Source organism: Homo sapiens, chromosome 19 (assembly GCF_000001405.40).
Source record: "Homo sapiens chromosome 19, GRCh38.p14 Primary Assembly".
Classification (NCBI taxonomy): domain Eukaryota; kingdom Metazoa; phylum Chordata; class Mammalia; order Primates; family Hominidae; genus Homo; species Homo sapiens.
Window position 1 is genome coordinate 37,720,339 of NC_000019.10, and position 23,771 is coordinate 37,744,109.

At 39.8% G+C, this 23,771-nt stretch overlaps 1 protein-coding gene across 5 annotated transcripts in view; it reads right to left on the reverse strand.

Annotated features, from left to right (window-relative positions):
• Nucleotides 1-17,963: 17,963 nt before the first annotated feature.
• ZNF573 (zinc finger protein 573) overlaps nucleotides 17,964-23,771 on the reverse strand; it is a 41,285-nt gene continuing 35,477 nt past the window's right edge. For all 5 annotated transcript variants that reach the window (NM_001172692.2, NM_001172691.2, NM_001172690.2 and 2 more), the window contains one exon: nucleotides 17,964-19,856. In NM_001172692.2, the coding sequence (NP_001166163.1) occupies nucleotides 18,154-19,856 (1,703 nt within the window). In that variant the 3' untranslated portion in view covers nucleotides 17,964-18,153. The remainder of the gene's footprint in view (nucleotides 19,857-23,771) is intronic.

Consider the following 23,771-nt stretch of genomic DNA (forward strand, 5'->3'; position numbering starts at 1 on the left):
TTTTAGGTAAGTAAATTTGGGGGAAATATTTACAACAGCTAAAACGGACAAATATTTAATAGTCCGAATTTCCTGTTTCTTTGGCTTAATAAAATATTGATGAATACAGGCTGGGCACGGTGGCTCACGCCTTTAATCCCAGCATTTTCGGAGGCCAAGGCAGGAGGATCAGTTGAGGCCAGAAGTTCAAAACCAGCCTAAGAAACATAGTGAGACACCCCTCTCCTCCTCCCAAACTCTACCAAAAATGAAAGTTAGCCTGGTGTGGTGGCACACGCCTGTGGGCCCAGCTATTCCAAAGACAAAGGTAGGAGGATCAGTTGAGCCCGGAAGTTCAGGCTTCAGTGAGGTATGATGGTGTCACCGCACTCTGGCCTGAGCAACAGAGCAAGACCTTGTCTCAAAAAATAAATAAGTAAAATTAATTTAAAAATAAAAAATATTTGTCTATACCCTAAGAGGAAAAGGAACAAAACTAAAAAATCACCATTCAAAAATACAAATAGTCAAGGAAAAAAAACTATTAAAGTTACAATTTAAGAACTTATTGATCACTTTTTCTTCTCTTAATTAGTTCTTGGATTTGTTGCTCCTGAATCTCCTGAATAATCTCTCAGAAATACCACACATAGATCAATGGATTAAATTGACTCCACATATTATTTTCTTTTTCTTTTTTCTCTTTTTGAGACGGAGTTTTGCTCTAGTTGCCCAGGCTGGAGTGCAATGGCACGATCTTGGCTCACTGCAACCTCCACCTCCCAGGTTCAAGCGATTTTCCTGCCTCAGCCTCCTGAGTAGCTGGAATTACAGGCATGCATCACCATGCCCAGCTAATTTTGTATTTTTAGTAGAGACAGGGTTTTACCATGTTGGTCAGGCTGGTCTCGAACTCCCAACCTCAGATGATCTGCCCGCCTTGGCCTCCCAAAGTGCTGGGATTATAGGCATGAGCTACTGCGCCCGGCTCCACATACTATTTTCAACAAGGATACCAAGGCATTTTAAGGAAGGGAAGAGTAGTCTTTGTTGAAAAGACTGGAATTAGAGATGCACATAGAAAGGAATGAATTGAGTTCCCTGCCTCTCACCATATACAAAATCAACTCAAAATGGATCAAACACCTAGGTGTAAGACTTAAAACAGTAGAACATTTAGAAGGAAATGTAGGCATAAATCTTCTGGACTTTATAGTCAGCAATTGTTTCTTAACCGTGACATCAGAATCACAAGCAACAACATCAAAAAAGGAAATTGGACATAAATTGTAAAACATTGTGCTTCAAAACCCACCAAGAATGTGAGAAGCTACCCAAAGAGTGAGAAAAATTGTTTGTAAATTATGTATCCAATAAGGGATTTGTATCTAGAATATATAAAGAAGTCTTGCAACTCAATAATAAAAAGCCCAACAAAAATGGGCAAAGTAACTGAATAAGCATTTCTCAAAAAAAAAAAAAAAGTATACACATGGCTACTAAATACTTGAAAACATGTTCTATATTAATCATTAAGAATATGCAAATCAGCCAGGAGCAGTGGCTCATGCCTGTAATCTCAGCACTTTGGGAGGTCGAGGCAGGAGGATTGCTTGAGCCTAGGAGTTCGAAACCAGCCTGGGAAACAAAGAAAAAGACTATGTAAATCAAAACCCCAAAACCCCAATGAGATATACTACTTAGGATGACTAAAATCAAATAAATATACAATAACAAATTTTGGATAGGATTTGGATAAATAGAACCCTATATACATTGATGGTGTCACTGGAAAATGGTAGAACTACTGTATAAACAGTCTGGCAGTTCCTCAGAAGAATGTAGAGTTACCATACGATGTAGCAATTTTAGTCCTAGGTATATTCTCAAGACAAAACCATATGTTCTCACAAAGCTTGTACACAGATATTTATAGCAGCATGATTCATGATAGCCAAAACTGGAAAGAAAACCCAATTGTTCTTCATTTTATAAGTAGATAAGTAAAATGTGGCATATCTACACAATGGACTATTATTTGGTAATATAAGGAAATGAAGATCTGATACAAGCTACAACATAGATCAACCTTGAACACTATGCTAAGTGAATGAAGCTGGTACAAAAGACCACATATTTATGATTCCTTCTATGTGAAATTTCTTCTCATATAAAATTTCCAATGTGGGCTAATTTATAGAGACTGAAAGTAAATTGTTTCCTAAATTGAACGGTGGCAGAAGGAATTGGGATGGTGGCTAAAGGCTTTCATGCTGGCGTGATGAAAATGTTATAAAACTGTGTTGAAGGTTTCACAACTTTGTGACTACATTAAAAACTACTGGATTTTACACTTTAAATGAGTGAATTGGATGGAATGTGAATTATATACAAAGTTGTTACCAAAAGAAATAAAAAAGAAATACAGAGTTTTCAACAAGTAAAAACTGAGAGCATTTGTTGTTAGCAGATCTTCTTTATAAGAAATGTTAAAGAAAATTCTTGAGAAAGAATAGGACAGAATCAGAAATTTGTATCTAAACAAGAAATGAAGAGTCAGAATTAAAGTTAATGGAAGTAAAACCATTTTTTTCCTCATATTTAGTTTCTCTGAAAGATAGTAATAATGTTATTATTATTATTCTTAAAATTTTTTGAGATACAGTCTTGCTTTGTCACCCAGGCTGGAGTGCAGTGGCACGATCTCAGCTTACTGCAACCTCCGCCTCCCAGATTCAAGCAATTCTCCTGCCTCAGTCTCCCAAGTAGCTGGGATTACAGGCACGCGCCACCAGGCCCGGCTAATTTTGTATTTTTAGTAGAGACAGGGTTTCACCATGTTGATCAGGCTGGTCTTGAACTCCTGACTTCAAGTGATCCACCAACCTTGGCTTCCCAAAGTGTTGAGATTACAGGTGTGGGCCACTGCGCCCAGACTATCTTATTGTTTTTTAAAGACAGGATCTTGCTCCGTTGCCCAGGCAGGAGTGCAGTGGTGCAATCACAGCTCACAGCAGCCTCAACTGGTGCAATCACAGCTTATAGCAGCCTCGACCTCCCAGGCTAAAGAAATCCTCCTACCTCAGCCTTCTGAGTAGCTGGGATTATAGGTGTGCACCACCACACCTGGCTAATTTTTAAATTTTTTTGCAGAGACAGGGCCTCACTATGTTGTCCAGGTTGGTCTCAAACTCTGGGGCTCAAGTGATCCTCCCACCTGAGCCTCTCAAAGTGTTGAGATTACAGGTGTGAGCCACTACGCCCAGCTCAATCATCTTTTAAGCAATTTAAATAATAAGATATATTTACCCACATATTAGTCATTTCCTATGTAGGTCCAAATTTCCATCTGATATCACTTTCCATTTGTCTGAAGAACCTTAACATTTCTTAGAGTGTAGGAAAGCATCAATCCTCTCATCTTTTAGATGTCTAAAAAAATCAGACATCCACAAATTTTCACCTTCGTACAAAAGTATTTTCACATTGTATAGAATTCAAGGTAACATTTTTCATTTCTGCGCTATACAAGAATTTTGCTCAACTGTCTTCTAGGTTATGTTGGTTTCAACAAGAAATACTTTTATTCTTGCATTTGTTCCTCTCTATGTAGTCTCCTTTCTCTGCTGACTTACTCTTTATCACTATTTTAAAGCAATTAGATTATGATCAGTCTTTGTTTAGATTTCTACATTTCTTGTGATTAGAATTCACTGAGTTGCTTCAATTTGTAAGTCTACAGTTTTCACCAATTGGGAAAATTTTTAAGCTTACTAATCCTTTTCCTGCAATATCTAATCATTTCTCCAGAGTATTTTACATCTCAGACATTGTAGTTTTCATTTGTGGATGTTTAATGTGGTTTAAAAAAACATCTCCCATGATTCTCCTAAAAGTGCTTATATTTCAGCCAGGTGCAGTGGCTTACACATGTAATCCCAGCAGTTTGAGAGGCTAAAGCAAGACCCTGTCTCTACTAGAAAATACAAAAAATTAGCTGGGCATGGTGGTGCATGCCTGCAGTCCCAGCTACCAGGGAGGCTGAGGTGGGAAGATCAACTGAGCTCAAGAGGTCGAGGCTGCAGTGAGCCATGACTGGGCCACTGCACTCCAGTCTGGGCCAAAGAGTGATACCCTGTCTTTAAAAAAAAAAAGAAAAAAAAAGTGCTTATATTTTGGTCTACCTTTGTCAACATATGAAATATCATTATAATTATTCTGATAACCTGTCAATTCTAATACGTGAGACAATTTTGATTAATCAATTTTGCTCCTCGTTATGTGTCATGTTTTCCTGGTCCTTTGCATGTCTTGTAACCTTTTTTTTTTTCTTTTTTTGAGACAGAGTCTCGATCTTGTTGCCCAGGCTGGATTGTAATGGTGTGATCTCTGCTCACTGCAACTTCCACCTCCCCGGGTTCAAGTGATTCTCCTGCCTCAGCCTCCCGAGTAGCTGGGATTACAGGCATGCACCACCAGGCCCGACTAATTTTTTGTATTTTTAGTAGAAACGGGTTTTCTTCGTTTTGGTCAGGCTGGTCTGGAACTCCCAACCTCAGATGATCTGCCCACCTCAGCCTCCCAAAGTGCTGGGATTACAGGCGTGAGCCACTGCACCCACCCGTCTTGTAACTTTTGATTGGATGCTAAACATTGAAATGTTACCTTGCCAGGTATTCTGGTATATTTTTCAATATTTTTGAGCTTTGTTTTGAAATATAGTTCACGTAACTTGAAAACAGTTTGATCTTTTTCATGGGTTCTTTTTCAGCTTTGATAAGGCAGGACCAGAGCAAGACTAATTAGTCCAAAGCTGATTTTTCCTCTCTCTTAAGACAGTATACTTCTGAGTATCCGAGGTCTTGTGAATTATGAGGGTTTTTCCACTTTGGCTATTGGTAACACCTGCTATTCCTGGACTTGTTTGAGCTATGAGGATTATTCCCTCTATTCATTTCAAGTGGGTTTTTCCACAGCTTCAGGTGTTTTCACATATAGCTAACTGGTCAGTACTTTCAGCTGAAGATTCAAAGGGAACTCCCTGGCAGCGCTCCAGAGATCTCTTCATGGAGGTTGTTCCTGTCTAGTACTTTGTTCCACATACCCTGGCTTCTGCAAATCCTCAAGTTTGTGTCTCAATTCGGGAAGAACACTGGGCTCTGCTTCTGTTAACTCTCCCTGAGCAATGGACTGAAAATACTCCAGATGTTAAGTTGGGAGAAATAATAGAGCTCACCTTGGTGGTTTCTGCAAATGGGGATTGTGGTCTGCTTGTTGTTCAGTGTCTGAAAACTGTCATTCTATATATTTTTAAAAATTATTGAGATGGGAGGGTACATCCTACCCTGTTATTATATCTTAAAAGTAAGCAAAATTTTAATTTTTTTTTTTTTGAGATAGGGTCTTGCTTTGTAGTCCAGGCTAACGTGCAGTGGTGCCCTCATGGCAGCCTCAAACTCCTGGCTCAAGCGATCCTCTTGCCTCAGCTTCCCGAGTAACTGGGACTACAGGTGCATGCCACCATGCCTGGCAATTTTTTTTTTTACTTTTTGTAGAGATGAGTCTTGTTGTTTTGTTCTCCAGCCTTGTCTCAAACTCCTGGGCTCAAAGGATCCTCCCACCTTGGCTTCCCAAAATGTGGGGATTACAGGAGTGAGCCACTGTGTTCAGCCTAAAATTATATCTTGCTTTATCTCAATAATGCTTATTTAAGAAGAAAAAGCTAAAAGAAAAACACTTAATGATCTCTTCCATAAGATCACCAAGACCAAGGCCCTGATCAAGAAACATGTGGTTGATAATCCACATGGTAAAGCTTTCTTTTTTTGTGATTACGTCTTTGCATGCGTGTGTCTCAGTGAAGACCATGGAAACTAGAGGAGTATCTAAAAATTGCTCAATTACCATTAACTGTAGAGAGAAAAATAGGAAGGAATAGAACATAAGTGCATAAAAATAGTAAGAATAGCCAGGCACAGTGGCTCACGCCTGTAACCCCAGCACTTTGGGAGGCCAAGGCGGGTGGATCACAAGGCCAGGAGTTCAAGACCAGCCTGGCCAAGATGGTGAAACCCTGTCTCTACTAAAAATACAAAAAATTAGCCAGGTGTGGTGGCGGACACCTGTAATCCAGCTATTTGGGAGGCTGAGGCAGAGAATTGCTTGAACCCGGGAGGCGGAGGTTGCAGTGAGCCAAGATCGCACCACTGCACTCCAGCCTGGGCAACAGAGTGAGACTCCGTCTCAAAAAAATAAAATATAAATCAATATTACAACTTTTTTGCATATTGTTTCCACTTTAAAATATTTAAGATGCTTTCAGACCGGGCGTGGTGGCTCAAGCCTGTAATCCCAGCACTTTGGGAGGCCAAGGCGGGCGGATCACGAGGTCAGGAGATTGAGACCATCCTGGCTAACATGGTGAAACCCCGTCTCTACTAAAAATAAAAAAATTAGCCGGGCAAGGTGATGGGCACCTGTAATCCCAGCTACTCGGGAGGCTGAGGCAGGAGAATGGTGTGAACCTGGGAGATGGAGCTTGCAGTGAGCCGAGATCATGCCACTGCATTCCAGCCTGGGCCACAGAGCGAGACTCCGTCTCAAAGAAAAAAAAAAGATGCTTTCAAGTATCTGCTAAAAATTAACGACTTTTCTTTGCTTTTTTAGAGACAGGTTCTCACTCTATTGCCCAGGATAGAGTGCAGTAGTGCCATCATAGCTCACTGCAATCTCAAACTCCTAGGATCAAGCAATCCTCCTGCCTTGGCCTCCAGAGTAGCTGGTACTACAGGCATGCACCAGTATGCCTAATTAAAAAAAATTTTTTTTTGTAGACACAGGGTCTCACTATGTTGCCAGGGCTGTTCTTGAACTCCTGACTTCAAGTAATCCTCCCTCTTCGGCCTCCCAAAGTGCTGGAATTAAAGGCGTGAGCCACCACACCCAGCCTATGATTTTTAATATATACCTAACATTGCTCAATTAATTTTGCAAATGATAATTAAGTGCTTGGCAATATTTCATTGGTTAAATCCATAAGATTATTTTTTATCTGAATAGAATATAAGTATTCAGAATATTCCTAATAGAAAGTTTTCTAATAATGGAAACATTGTATACAGTAGTCTCCCTCTTATCTGCAGGGGTTATGTTCCAAGACCCCCAGGGGAAGCCTGAAACCAAGGATGGCACCAAACCATCCTATTTTTTTACTAAACATATGTACTTATGATAAAGTTTAATTTATAAATTAGGCACAGCAAGAGATTAACAACAAGGAAACATTAGATAAAGAGGGGACTACTGTATCTGTAAAGTCCAATACACATGGCTATTGAACACTTAACTGTGACTAGTCCTACTGGTGAACTCAATTTTATGCCTTATTAAATTTAAATTAATTTAAAATGGCCACGTGTAGCTGGTGGCTACTGTATCTACCTGACAGTGCAGATCTAGAGGAATGTCAATTGCTTAATATTTAATGCAATCAATGCTAATTATGTGACAAATTATAATTTTAACATGAGGCAATAAAATAAAACTATTAGTGGATATTTACTCACCCTGCATTAAAATTTTTCACACATTAAAGAATCTGTCATTCTCATGAGGGCTGCTGGTAAGTATCCAAACACGTCTAAGCAGCAATGCATTTTATATATATATTTTTTTGAGATGAAGTTTCGTTCTTGTTGCCCAGGCTGGAGTGCAATGGCCCCATCTTGGCTCACTGCAACCTCTGTCTCCTGGATTCAAGCAATTCTCCTGCCTCAGCCTCCCGAGTAGCTGGGATTACAGGCATGCGTCACCCCACCTCACTAATTTTGTATTTTTTTTTTTTTAGTAGAGATGGGGTTTCTCCATGTTGGTCAGGCTGGTCTCAAACTCCTGACCTCAGGTGATCCACCTGCCTTGGCCTCCCAAAGTGCTGGGATTACAGGCGTGAGCCACCATGCGGGGCCCGCATCTTATATTCTTGCTAAAGAGTTCTGAACTCCTAGCATTGTATTGCCAAGAACACATAATGCTTGATTTTCATTGAGGGGTTCATGTGGGGATGCGTCTTTTATGTGGAACCCAGTGGTAATACCACAATGTGCAGTGCTCACAGGCGTTGTGCCTCGGGCAGGTACGCAGCTCAGTTAATCTGTTGCTTTCATAGAAAGTAGAAATTCAAATAGAGTATCAGGTGATTTTGGAAGTGTTTAACAATCCAGTATTAAAACTGTAAGAAGGAAAACAAAATAAAGAAAAAACAGGACCATATGGGTTTAAAGCCAAATTTTATCTAACCTTTAATAAACAAATAATGGCAATAACAAAAATTTAAAAAATTCTTAATTTTGAATGTTAATATATGAATGCTAATAATATTAATATCAATTTTGAATATTTGGACAAAAATCCCAAACAAAATATTCATAAGATAAATTAAGCAGCTTATCAAAACAATAATATACCACAGCTAAGCATATTATATTTCAGAAATGGTTTAAAACAAGAAATCAGAATGAATTATAACATTAAAATAGCAGAGGAGAATGATATATGAACAAAGCAAAAGAAGTGATAGGATTTGAAAAAATATAAGAAGTTAGCCCTAATTATAGAGCATACTTGCATACAACAAAGTAAATATTAGTTGAATGGTAAAATATTGTACTGATTTCCATTAAACTGTTTAAACAACTAAGACACTGGCTATTACCCCAATACTTGACATAATCGTATTTATTTTAATAAAAGTAAAGAAATAATAATGATTTTAAAAGAAAATTCATTTCCATTCATAGATAATCTGACTGAATACACAGAAATCTCACATACTATTAAAAATATAAATAGATTACCAGTTTATGGTTAGAGTGATAATGGCAACATCCAAATATAATATGATAGTATGTGGGAAAACTATCAGTATCAGAAAAATCATGAATGCACTTTAAACAGCTACTCTCCAGGAAAAGGATATTATATATAAAATAACAGAAGAATCAAGATCTAGAGTATGTGTGTGTATTCATAAATCAGCAGGTTGAGAAAATGAGCAAAAGAAACAAACAGGAAAGTCACAGTAAATAACATGATTGGCTAATAAATACATATAAAAAATACTTAATGGGTTAGTTAAAAAAATAATTATATTTTTAGATGGACAAGTGGAGTTACTGGATACTTTTATTTCCAGCTGACCAGACTAGAAATTACAAGAGTAGAAGAGCATTTGGAAAAGATCCAAGTATAGATACATCAGCTATGACTGCAATTATAGAGTTTTGTTATTTACAGACTCCTCTGAAACAATATTCTAAGTAGAGTTTTAAAAAATTATCTATAACCTAAATACTGATCAGGATGAGAGTTTAAAAACATTTAGGCCAGGCGTGGGGGCGCACACCTGTAATCCCAACACTTTGGGAGGCCGAGGCAGGTGGATCACCTGAGGTCGAGAGTTCGAGACCAGCCTGACCAACATGGAGAAACCCTGTCTCTACTAAAAGTATAAAAAAAATTAGGCAGGCGTGGTGATGCGTGCCTGTAATCCCAGCTACTCAGGAGGCTGAGGCAGGAGAATCGCTTGAACCTGGGAGGCAGAGGTTGCAGTGAGTCAAGATCGGACCATTGCACTCCAGCCTGGGCAACAAGAGCAAAACTCCGTCTCAAAAACAACAACAACAACAAAAAAAACCCAAAAAACAAAACAAAACAAAAAAACATTTAGGTTTTTCATTTTGTAGAAAAGTAACAGTAGTACGAGTACAGAAAAAGGTGGTTACTTGCCTATCATCATGTGAGCTGACTGCATTCTCCCGGGGATTAATCACATGACAAAATGCTGAAATTCCAGTTTGAGGGTCATTCCTTTAGGTCTTGGCAGCATTTCAGCTTATGGTTTCATGTCCCGATTTTTTTTTTTTTTTTTTTTTTGAGACAGAGTCTCACTCTGTCACCCAGGCTGGAATGCAGTGGCACAATCTCGGCTCACTGCAGCCTATGCTCCGGGTTCAAGTGATTCTCCTGCCTCAGGCTCCAGAGCAGCTGGGATTACAGGCATGCGCCACCACACCTGGCTCATTTTTGTATTTTTAGTAGAGATGGGGTTTCACCATGTTGGCCAGGCTGGTCTTCAACTCCTGACCTCAAGTGATCCGACCACCTCGGCCTTACCCAAAGTGCTGGGATTACAGGCATGAGCCACCACACTCAGACTTAAGTGTTAGTAGGTAATATTAATAGAAATGGAAGTTCCGAGGTAATTCTTAGATACACTGGGTTATGGAAAGGCAAACAAACTTTCTACACCACAGTGCACGTCAATCTTGTGAGAGGTTAATCATGTGGTTTTTGTTTGTTCCAAGAGCAGGAGATTGCTTCATTGGCTTGTCTAAGAACATAAACCATTTTTCAATTATCAAGTACAGTGGTCATCTAACCTATAGCAAAATCATTCTGCATTGTGTTTTATTTCATTATCAAAACTTAAAATTGCATAGGGGAAATGATGTTAATATTTAAAGGCGAATTATTTCCTTTGTGGACAAAAGGGATATGAGCATGTAGATCACAACGAATGATCACACTGACACTACAGACACAATGAATGATCACGCTGACACTAAAGACACAACAAATGATCACGCTGACACTACAGACACAATGATGACGCTGACACTACAGACACAATGAATGATCACGCTGACACTACAGACACAACGAATGATCACGCTGACACTACAGACACAACGAATGATCACGCTGACACTAAAGACACAACAAATGATCACGCTGACACTACAGACACAATGTTCACGCTGACACTACAGACACAACGAATGATCACGCTGACACTACAGACACAACGAATGATCACGCTGACACTACAGAACTTTGGCTGACAATGCATAATGCGTGATGCTCCTTAGTTTGGAAAAGTAATTTTTATAGGGCTGGAAGTGAGTTTAGGTAGTTATCAACTGCAATCCTGATTTCCAAAAGGTTTTTAAAAAGGTAGTTTTTAGAATTGATGGTATCGTGCACATAATTCATCCCATTTATAAAACTGTATATAAAGCTTAGAAAAATTACAAGGATAAACACAGATCAACATTCCTTTTCTTTCATTTGTCTAGAATATATTGAACCAGAAGAATGAATTGACTCTGCCAGAAAAATGACTATTGCACAATTATTTTAAAAGAATCTTAGAGTTTGCTGATATCATACTCAGAAATTTTCCATTTACCCTAATGAGTGAAACTCATCTTGTTTTCAATCATGTTTTAAAAATTCCGATTTCCTACAATATCTATGTCATTTTGAAAAACTATATTCTTTCACAAATATAATTCCTTCTCAAAATACATTAGAGATTGCTAAATATTTTGGTATAAACATCAAAAATTAACTCTTTCTTTTGAGACTGGTTCTCGCTCTATTGCCCAGGCTGGAGTGCAATGGCATGATCTCGGCTCACTGCAATCTCTGCCTCCCAGGTTCATGCGATTCTCCTGTCTCAGCCTCCCAAGTAGCTAGGATTACAGGCGCATGCCACCATGCCCAGCTAATTTTTGTATTTGTAGTAGAGATGAGGTTTCATCATGCTGGCCAGGCTGGTCTCGAACTCCTGACCTCAAATGATCCACCTGCCTCGGCGTCCCAAAGTGCTGGGATTACAGGCGTGAGCCACTGTGCCCGGCAAAAATTAACTTTTAATTTAAAACATTTTCTTCATATCTCTTTTAAAATTTTTCTTGATTATATCTAGAGATTTAGCTCATGTTCCACAAAATGGGAGGGGGTAAGATTTGAATAAAAACTAGTTTTATTTCCTAATCATTAATCTCTTTATCTAGTTTTATTAATTTTTTCTTAATATTGGTATATTTGTTTTCCTTTCTTCTAGCCTCATATATTAACATTGTTTCTATCCACAGATTTATAGTCTAACCTTTAACAGGCAGTTCATATGTGCTACACAGAGAGATGAATACAATGACATCTTTTTGTTTCAATCCTTGTTTCCTGAATTAAAGGGATTATGTTTTCAAATTAACGGATCAATGTAGCACCCATCAAATTACTAATGCAAAATGGAATTGTTCAATGGAGAGCTGACAGTTGCCTCTTTAAGCAAGCTTTACAGTGTAGCATAAATAATCATGTAAAAACCTGATATGCTTTCAGAAGTCTGCAGCATCATTCATGAGATGTTCTTGACAAAAATCTCAACCTAATGAATTTTCTAGACATAACTGCCAATTTATGGGAAAACAAGGGACAGAGCAACAAGTTAAATCATACTGTGAAGCAGAAATCAAGAATGTGGGACATTCTTTGGGTACTTAAAAAAGAAAAATTCAGGCTGGGTGTGGTGGCTCACGCCTGTAATCCCAGCACTTTGGTAGGCCAAGGCGGGTGGATCACAAGGTCAAGAGATCCAGACCATCCTGGCCAACATGATGAAATCCCGTCTCTACTAAAAATGCAAAAATTAGCTGGGTGTGGTGGCATGCGCCTGTAGTCCCAGCTACTTGGGAGGCTGAGGCAGAATTGCTTGAACCCGGGAGGCAGAGGTTGCAGTAAGCCAAGATCGCACCACTGCACTCCAGCCTGGTGACAGAGTGAGACTCTGTCTCAAAAAAAAAGAAAAAAAAAAGGAAAAATTCAAAAGCATGAAAAAGTGGGGATATTATCCTAGAGAAAAGGAATAAATTAAAAAAAAATCCCAAATGCAATGAATTAACCAAGAGTGGATACTGATTAGAAAATAAGTCGTTATAAAAAATCTTTGGGCACATATTTGAAGACACTATATAAATTATTACATTTTTCCAGTATGATTATAGTATCACAGTTATCCAGGAAATTTGCATATATTTAAAGGCAAAGGGCCATGGTATCTACAACTTACTCTCAAATGATACAGAAATAACCCATACATAAGCGGATAAAAAGAGCTGAAATAAGATAAAGCAAATAACATGAATGTAAACATATATGGTGGGTTACTAAACAATTCTTTCATTTTTTCTGTATGTTAAATTAAAATGTACATTTCAAATTTAGGGAAAACCTCCAAGACAACAATTTACTTCTTGATAGCCCATTATTAATTCCTACTTAATCTTAAATTGTGAACAGAAAATATGAACTGTTGGCTATTATCAAAATCTTGGCCAGGCACAGTGGCTCACACCTATAATCCCAGCAATTTGGGAAGCCAAGGCAGGAGGATTGCTTGAGGCCAGGGGTTTGAGACCAGCCTAGGCAACATAGTGAGACCCCATCTCCACAAAAAATGAAAAAAGCAAAAGCAAAACAAAACAAGATATGCAAAATCTTTTTTTTTTTTTTTTTTGAGATGGAGTCTTGCTCTGTCACTCAAACTGGAGTGTAGCGGTGTGATCTCGGCCCACTGCAACCTCCGCCTCCTGGGTTCAAGTGATTCTCGTGTCTCAGCCCTCCGAGTAGCTGGGATTACAGGTGTGTGCCACCATGCCCAGCTAATTTTTGTACTTTTAGTAGAGATGGGGTTTTGCCATGTGCCCAGGATGTTCTTGAACTCCTGATCTCAGGCGATCTGCCAGCCTTGGCTTCCTAAACTGCTGGGATTAGAGGTGTGAGCCACTGCACCTGGTCAAAATCTTTAGACATGCTAAAATCATATTCTTAATTTCCAAAATTATATAAAATTTAATAATAGATGAGTGGCTTTCAGAAGCTGTTCTAAATTAATTATGCTATTAGAATCTTTCATAAAAATTAATTATCAGCAACACAAATAATGACGATATCTATAATAGGTCATATTTATTTATTTATTTATTTTAAGATGGAGTCTCGCTCTGTCACCCAGGCTGGAGTGCAGTGGCATGATCCCGCCTCCCAGGTTCAAGTGATTCTCCTGCCTCGGCCTTTCTGAGTAGCTGGGACTACAGGTGCGTGTCACCACGCCCGGCTAATTTTTTGTATTTTTTGTAGAGATGGGGTTTCACCATGTTAGCCAGGATGGTCTCGATCTCCTGACATGTGATCCACCCTCCTCAGCCTCCCAAACTGCTGAGATTACAGGCGTAAGCCACTGCGCCCGGCCAATAGCTCATATTTATTGAGCATAACGCTATATGCCAAACAGTCTTCCCAGGTTTTGACAAGTATAATTTCGGCCACATCCGCATAATAGGACTCTTATGTACCTTTTTTCTTTTTAGATGGGGCCTAAAAAAGCCAGGCTGGTGTGCAGTGGCTATTCACAGGCACCATCATAGAGCACTGCAGGCTTACACTCTTGCCTCAAGCGATCCTCCCGCCTCAGTCTCCCGAGTAGCTGGGACTACAGGTGTGCGCCACCATGCCTGGGTTTCATGTAGGCTCTTGATTATACTTTGCAAATAATTCCCATAGATGATAAATATCTTGGCCAATGACACACAGGGAGTTATGTGGCAGTGATGACAGGTAAGGCATGTGCCATGGCTAAAAGCACTATTGCATATGTGACATTAACAAGTTAGTTTATTAGTACTAATTTTTGAGACTTCAACAATGATTGAGTGGTGTCAGGTGTGGCGATTTAAAAATAAAAATATGTCTGCAAATGTTTTGACATTTCTCTCTTTAAAAAGTGAAAGTGGGCTGGGCACAGTGGTTCACGCCTATAATCTCAGCACTTTGGGAACACTGTGGGAAGACTGCTTGAGCTTAGGAGTTTGAGACAAGCCTGGGCAAGTTGGTGAGACCCCCATCTCTACAAAAAATTTAAAAATTAGCTGGGCATGGTGACGCACACCTGTAGTCCCAGCTACTCGGGAAGCTGAAGCAGGAGGATCACTGAAGCCCAGGAGGTTGAGGCTGAAGTTAGCCATATGCACTCCACTGGACGACAGTGAAAGATCCTGCCTTCAAAAAAAAAAGGTGAAACTTAATTCCTCTCTTACTGAATGTAGGCCAGACTTAGTGATTTTCTGGGAACAAACAGAACGTGGCAGAACTAACTTCCAAAGAGAGATTATAAAAAGGATCACATCTGTCACGTCACAAGCACACTCAAGCAGCTTATGGACAAGGCCCCTTGGGAGAAGAAACGACTTGCCAGTATAAACTTATCAGCCACAGAACTAAGCCATTTGAAAGCATATCCTACAGCTATAGTCAAGCCTTTAGATAAGCACAACCTCTTGAGACACTTGGAGCTAGAACTGCCTAGCTTAGCTGCTCCCAAATTTCTGACTCACAGAAACTGTGAGAAAAATACACATTTATTGGCATTTTAAGCCACTAATTCTTCAGGTTCTTTGGAATGTGGCATGAGATAACAGATTTTGGTACCTAGACAAGGGATGCTATTGAAACAAAAAGCTACAAATGTCAGAGGGGCATTGGGACCACAAACTGGGTGGAAATTGGAAGTGCCTGGAAAATATTATTAGCAGAAACCTGGATATTTTTGAGGAGCTCCTAGTGAGGGCTTAAAGAAAACTGAAAAATGTTACTGGAGACTAGGGGGAAGGGATTCTTGTTATGCAACAGCAGAAAGCAACATGGCTGCACGTGGTTACTGTGAAAAGTACAAAATAATACCTACAGAACTGTGTAACTGGCCCAGGCTCGTGCTATAATCCCAGCACTTTGGGAGGTCAAGGTAGGAGGATCAAGAGTTTGAGACCAGCTCAGGCAACATAGGGAGACTTCATCTCTACCAAAAAAAAAAAAAAAAAAAGAATTAGCTAGATGTAGTTGTGCATACACCTGTAGTCCTAGCTACTCCTGAGGCTGAGATGGGCGGATCACTTGAGCCCGGGAGTTCAAGGTTGTAGTGAGCTATGATCACACCACTGCACTCCAACTTGGGTGGCAAAGCAAGATTGTGTCTTTAAGAAACAAAAACAAACAAACAACAGCAACAAAAAAAGTGGGTAATTTAGCTTAGGAAACTCCCAAGCAGAATGTTGAAGGTGTCTTGCTTCTTGTTGCTTAAGTGCTAGAAGTGAGATAAGCTAGAAAAAGACTGTTAAACAGAAGTGAACCAGGACTTGCTTTTGGAAACTCCCAGCCTCTCCAGAAAGCAAATGATGCTAAACTTCAGAAATAGTCTCTGGACAAAGATAAAATCCAGAGTGCTGTTAGGGAAACATAGTATGTAGGTAACCTTAGGGTATGTGTTCATTTTGATCCTCTGAAAAGCAAAAAGCAAGATCAGATCAGAAGGAAGGAGGGGGCTATGAATGAAAAAGAGGTCCAGGAAAGGCAGTGAAAGCCTTCAGGCCATGGTACAAGATGGATGACTCTGAAGGAGAGGGATGAAGCAAGATTGGTAGAAAAACTATGAAAACGCGGGGCAGTATGAAAACAGTTTCAGCCTGGCTGATTCACAGTTCCCCAGCTGAAGGGTCTGGGTTTCGTAAGAATTGACTAGCATGAATACTTATGTTATGCTCAGAAAAGGAGCTGGGGGCAGCCCATAGGAAGCATGGCCTCAACATTAACACAATGATTATTTCAGAGAGGGAGCAGAGTGGGCACTTCACAGGCAGGTTATCTGTTCTCCAAAGAACAGATAGAGTATGACTGTTAAAAACCCTTGGTTAAGACTCCAGCAATATCTAATGTGACAATTATGAGAATCACCATTCAATGAAACTTCTATAAATGGCTCTGTCAGCAGCCTCTGCAGAAGCCCTAGGTAGAGGAGGCCGGATTTGCACGAGAGTGAATGAACAAGTGAGCATGAGCACCAGGGAAAGGTGATCCTGAAGATTCTGTTCATCTAGGTTCAGCTCACATGCAAAGGGAAGGGAATTGGACTTCAGGTTTTTTTATTTGCTGTTTGTGTTTTTGAGACGGAGTCTCATGCTGTTGCCCAGGCTGGAGTGCAGAGGCACGATCTCAGCTCACTGCAGCCTCCGCCTCCCAAGTTCAAGCGATTCTCCTGCCTCAGCCTCCCTAGTAGCTGGGACTACAGGCGTGTGCCATCACGCCTGGCTAGGCCTCGGTCTCCCAAAGTGCTGGGATTACAGGCGTGAGTCACCGTGCCTGGCCAGACTTCAAGTTTGAAGGGTAGAGTTTCAAGAATTTGAGGACATATTTTTAAAACACCACGACTGGCATTCTGAGTACAAATTGCTTATATTTCTACGTCATGCAAAATATGCTCAAGAAGCCACCCAAATTGCTTGAGCCCAGAAGTTGAAAGCTGCAGTGAGCTATGAGCATGCCTCTGCACTCCAGCCTGGGTGATAGAGCAAGACCCTGTCTCAAAAAACAAAGACAAAAACAAAAACAGACAAACAAACAAACAAAAAACGGCTCCAAAGTCACAGCTTTCTCCTGGCACTCTCACTGTCTAAGCCAGCCTGCCAGTGTGAGCAAGCCACCTGGAAAACAGATCCTTCCGCCCCAAGGAGCCTTCAGAAGACTGCAAGCTCATGGAAAGACCAATTCAAAAGCACTCAGTTAAGCCTCTTCCGAATTTCTGACCCTCAGAACCTATGAGTGATGTTTATTGTTGTGGTAAGACATTAAGGCTTGGGGTAATTTGTAATACAGCCATTGAAATCTAGTATGAAAGGCTTTTGGTCATCCTTTTAATTAATAAGTTTTTTTTTTTTTTCTTTTGAGACGGAGTCTCACTCTGTTGCCCAGGCTGGAGTGCAGTGGCGCGATCTCTGCTCACTGCAAGCTCTGCCTCCCGGGTTCACGCTATTCTCCTGCCTCAGCCTCCCGAGTAGCTGGGATTGCAGGCGCCTGCCACCACGCCCAGCTAATTTTTTGTATTTTTAGTAGAGACGGGGTTTCATCGTGTTAGCCAGGATGGTCTCTATCTCCTGACCTCGTGATCCGCCCACCTTGGCCTCTCAAAGTGCTGGGATTACAGGCAAACCACCGCGCCCAGCCTTAATTATTAAGTTTTTTTAAAAAAAAATCCATGCCATGGATGTTGTAGGCATGAAGAAACTGGGATTCCTGTTTTTTTTTTTTTTTTTCTTAATTTACCATTGAATAGTCAGATATTCCATTAAAACAGGACTGACATTGAATGCTTTCTAATGTGGCAAGATCTGCATTTTGAACTCTCTCAATTGCTAAAGCCATACCTATAAGACTAACATTCCATCATTTCTCACCAGTGTGGGCTGTCTGATGATGAATGGCGCGCTCGTACTCTTTACGGTCTTACACTTTTATGCTCCTATGAATTCTCTGATGGGCTTTAAGGGCTGAACCATATCTGAAGGTTTTCCCACACTGCTTACACACATAGGGTTTCTCACCAGTATGAATTCTCTCATGTTGAACAAGGTTTGAAGCACGACTGAAGGCCTTCCCACATTCTTTACATTCATAAGGTTTTCCACCAGTATGAATTTTCTGATGTTGGGTAAGGTAGCCATACATTTTAAAGGCCTTTCCACATTCTTTACATTCATAGGGTTTTTTATCAGCATGAATGCTCTGATGTGCAGTAAGGTGTGAACTACGTCTAAAGGTCTTCCCACATTCCTTACATTCAAAAGGTTTCTCATCAGTATGAATACTTTGATGTAGAGTAAGATTTCTATAGAAAGTAAAGGTTTTTCTACATACCTTACATTCATAGGGTTTCATACCAGTATGAATTTTCTGATGTTGATTAAGATATCCATGCAAGCTAAAGGTCTTGCCACATTCCTTACATTTATAGGGTTTCTCACCAGTATGAGTTTTCCGATGTTGAATAAGGTTTGAGCCAGTACTATAGGCCTTCCCACATTCCTGACATTCAAAAAGTTTCTTACCAGTGTGAATATTCTGATGTCGAGTAAGATTTCTATACAAAGTAAAGGTTTTTTTACACTCCTTACATTCAAAGTGTTTCATGCCAGTATGAATTTTCTGATGTTGTTTAAGGTAGCCATACAAGCTAAAGGCCTTTCCGCATTCCTTGCATTCATAGGGTTTCTCGCCAGTATGAGTTTTCTGATGTTGAAAGAGTTTTGAACCAGTAGTATAGGTCTTCCCACATTGCTTGCATTCAAAAAGTTTCTCACCAGTATGAATATTCTGATGCCGAGTAAGATTTCTATACAAAGTAAAGGTTTTCTTACACTCCTTACATTCATAGGGTTTTCCACCTTTATGAATTCTCTGATGTAGAAGAAAGTATGAGGCAGTGGTATAGCCCTTCCCACATTCTTTACACTCATATGGCTTTTTACCAGTGTGAACTCTCTGATGTACAGTAAGCTGGTGACCTCTTCTAAAGGCCTTTCCACATTTCTCACATATGTATGGCTTCTCATCAGTATGAAACTGCCCATGTTCAACAAGATTTGAGCGCCTACTAAAAGTCTTCCCACATTCCTTACATTTATATGGTTTTTCGCCAGTATGAACTCTCTGATGAATTCTAAGATGTCCACCTTGACTAAAGGCCCTCCCACACTCCTGACATTCATACGGCTTCCCACCAGTGTGAATTCTCTCATGTTGAACAATGTGTGAGGCATATATAAAGGCCTTCCCACACTGCCTACATTCATAGGTTTTCTCACCAGTATGAAATCTCTGATGCACAGTCAGCTGATAACCACTTCTAAAGTTCTTCCCACATTCTGTACATTCATAGGGTTTCTCACCAGTATGAAATCTTTGATGTAGAGTAAGTTGATAGCCACTACGAAAGTTCTTCCCACACTCTTTGCATTCATAGGGTCTCTCAATGACATGAAACCTGTGATGTAGAATAAGTTGATAACCACTACTAAATTTCTTCTGACATTTCTTACATTCATAGAGTTTCTCTCTCTTATATATGCTCTGAAGTTGTGTAGAGGATATATCTGTTTCATAAGTGGGTACTTCTATGTAGCTGATTATCTCACACTGTAAATCCAAATCTGAAACAAAAGAGGACAACAAAAAAAATTTGTATTTCTATACCAGAGAACAAGAAACTTTATGCAACAAAGAAAAACCAACATTCATAATAAGTGAATGGCATATAGAATTCAAAAATATGGTTACGAAATTTGAAAAAGGCCAAAAAGAGTTCAGAGACGTATGAGAGTTTACGTAAGATAGTGAAATTACTGATTGAGGACATAGGTAACATTTAGGTGGGGCCAGAATCTTTGACAAGCTTGTTCCAAATCTGCTATATTGGCACCGTCAAAGACCAAGTGAATTAAAACTGAGAGGAGAGAAACCTTGACATCTTTATTTTGAACCTATCACTGATTTAGATGCAGGTCAGTGTTTAAGAATACATCCTTTAAGTTTCTCGAGTGATTTTTCACTGTTCTTAAAATAAAATACAAATCCCTTTCCAAGGACTGCTGCTTACCTAGGAGGTCTCATGTCAAAACATCAGCTCTTTGCTTCCTATTCTCTATCATAGTCCCTCTTTTCAACACCTGGAATATAGTACAATTGCCCCTTGGTATCTGTGGAGGATCAGTTCCAGGACCTCCTGCAGATACCAAAACCCAACCCAGATACCGACGCCTTAAGTCCCTGATATAAAATGGCATAGTATTTGCACATAACCTATAAACATCTTCCTGTATACTTTAAATCATCTCTGGATTACTTACAATACCCAATACAATGTAAATGCTATGTGAATAGCTGTTCTACTGTTGCTTCGAAAATAATGGCAAGAAAAAAGCCTGTATGTGGTCAGTACCCTCACAATTTAAAAATATATGTTTGATCTGAAGATGGTTGAATCCATGAGTGCAGAACCCATAGATACAAAGGGCCAACTGTACAACTTCCCCCAACACTTAATGCTTTCCACAGACCGTTTAACTGCTCAAGAGTCCTTGGACTTAGACATTTTGTAGGCTGAATCCTTCTCATCCTTTATGTTTCAGAGTAAATGTTCTTTCTTTAGAAAGGCAGTACCTGCTAACTCTGTCTGTCTCTCTATCTTTATCTGTCTGTTTATCTATCTATCCATCCATCTAGCTATCAATCAATCATCAAGACAGAGTCTTGCTCTGTCACTCAGGCTGAAGTACAATAGCCCAATCATAGTTCACTGCAGCCTTGTACTCTTCCAGCTCAAGCGATTTTCCCACCTCAGCCTCTCAAGTAACTGGGACTACAGATGCACAACACCACACCTGGCTAATTTTAAAATTATGTGTAGAGACAGGGTCTCACTGTGTTGCTTATCCACCGTGATCAAGTTGGCTTCATCCCTGGGATGCAAGGCTGGTTCAACATACGCAAATCGATAAACATAATCTATCACATAAACCGGACCAAAGACAAAAACCACATGATTATCTCAATAGATACAGAAAAGGCCTTTGATAAAATTCAACATCCCTTCATGTCAAAAACTCTCAATAAACTAGGTATTGATGGAACATATCTCAATAATAGCTATTTATGACAAACCCACAGCTGATATCATATTGAATGGGCAAAAGCTGGAAGCATTCCCTTTGAAAACCAGTACAAGACAAGGATGCCCTCTCTCACCACTCTTATTCAACACAGTACTGGAAGTTCTGGCCAGGGCAATCAGGCAAGAGAAAGAAATAAAAGTATTCAAACAGGAAGAGAGGAAGTCAAGTTGTCTCTGTTTGCAGATGACATGATTTTATATTTAGAAAACCCCATCATCTCAGGCCAAAAACTCCTTAAACTGATAAGCAACTTCAGCCAAGTCTCAGGGTACAAAATCAATGTGAAAAAATCACAAGCATTCCTTTACACCAACAATAGACAAGCAGAGAGCCAAATCATGAATGAACTCCCATTCATAATCGCTACAAAGAGAATGAAATACGTAGGAATACAGCTAACAAGGGATGTGAAGGACCTCTTCAAGGAGAACTATAAACCACTGCTCAAGGAAATAAGAGAGGACACAAATAAATGGAAAAAGATTCCATCCTAATGGATAGGAAGAATCAATATCATGAAAATGGCCATACTACCCAAAGTAAATTATAGATTCAATGCTATTCCCATCAAATTACCATTGACATTCTTCACAGAATTAGAAAAAAACTGTTTTAAATTTTATATGGAATCAAAGAAGACCCCGTACAGCCAAGACAATCCTAAGCAAAAAGAACAAAGCTGGAGGCATCATGCTACCTGACTTCAAACTATACTACAAGGCTACAGTAACCAAAACAGCATGGTACTGGTACCAAAACAGACATATAAACCAATGGAGCAGAAAAGAGACCTCAGAAATAACACCACACATCTACAACCATCTGATCTTCAACAAACCTGCCACAAACAAGCAATGGGGAAAGGATCTCCTACTCAGTAAATGGTGCTGGGAAAACTGGGTAGCCATATGCAGAAAACTAAAACTAGACCCCTTCCTTACACCTTATGTAACAATCAACTCAAGATGGATTAAAGACTTAACTGTAAAACCCAAAACCATAAAAACCCTAGAAGAAAACCTAGGCAATGCCATTCAGGACATAGGCATGGGCAAAGATTTCATGACAAAAATGACAAAAACCATTGCAGCAAAAGCCAAAATTGACAAATGGGATCTAATTAAACCAAAGACCTTCTGCACAGGAAAAGAAACTATCATCAGAGTGAACAGGCAACCTACAGAATGGGAGAAACCTACCCATCTGACAAAGGTCTAACATCCAGAATTTACAAGGAACTTAAACAAATTTACAAGTAAAAACCAAACAACACATCAAAAAGTGGGCAAGGGATATGAACAGACACTTCTCAAAAGAAGACATTTGGCTGCGGTGGCTCATGCCTGTAATCCCAGCACTTTGGGAGGCCAAGGCGGGTGGATCACGAGGTCAGGAATTCAAGACCAGCCTGGCCAACATGGTGAAACCCCATCTCTACTAAAAGCACAAAAAAAATTAGCCAGGCATGGTGGCAGGTGCCTGTAATCCCAGCTACTCGGGAGGCTGAGGCAGGAGAATCACTTGAACGCGGGAGGTAGAGGTTGCAGTGAGCCGAGATCAAGCCACTGCACTCCAGCCTGGGTGACAGAGTGAGAATCCATCTCAAAAAAAAAAAAAAAAAAGAAGAAGAAGAAGACATTTATGAGGCCAACAAACATATGAAGAAAAGCTCAACATCATCATCAGAGATCATCAGAGAAATGCAAATCAAAACCACAATGAGATACCATCTCACACCAGTTAGAATGGCGATTATTAAAAAGTCAGGAAACAATAGATGCTGGTGAGGCTGTGGAGAAATAGGAATACTTTTATACTGTTGGTGGGAATGTAAATTAGTTCAACCACTGTGGAAGACAGTATGGCAATTCCTCAAGGATCTAGAACCAGAAATACATTTGACCCAGCAATCCCACTACTGGGTATATACCCAAAGAAATATAAATCATTCTACTAGAAAGACACATGTGCATGTACGTTTACTGCAGCACTATTTACAATAGCAAAGACTTGGAGCCAACCCAAATGCCCATCAATGATAGACTGGATAAAGAAAATGTGGTACATATACACCATGGAATACTATGCAGCCATAAAAAGAAATGAGATCTTGTCCTTTGCAGGGACATGCATGAAGCTGGAGGCCATCATTCTCAGCAAACTAACACAGGAACAGAAAACCAAATACCACATGTTCTCACTCATAAGTGGGAGTTGAACAATGAGAACTCATGGACACAGAGAAGGGAATAACACACCAGGGCCTGTTGGGGGCTGGGAGGTGAGGGGAGGGAACTTAGAGGACAGGTCAAAAGATGCAGCAAACCACCACGGCACACGTATACCTATGTAACAAACCTGCATGTTCTGCACATGTATCCATGTATCCTGTTT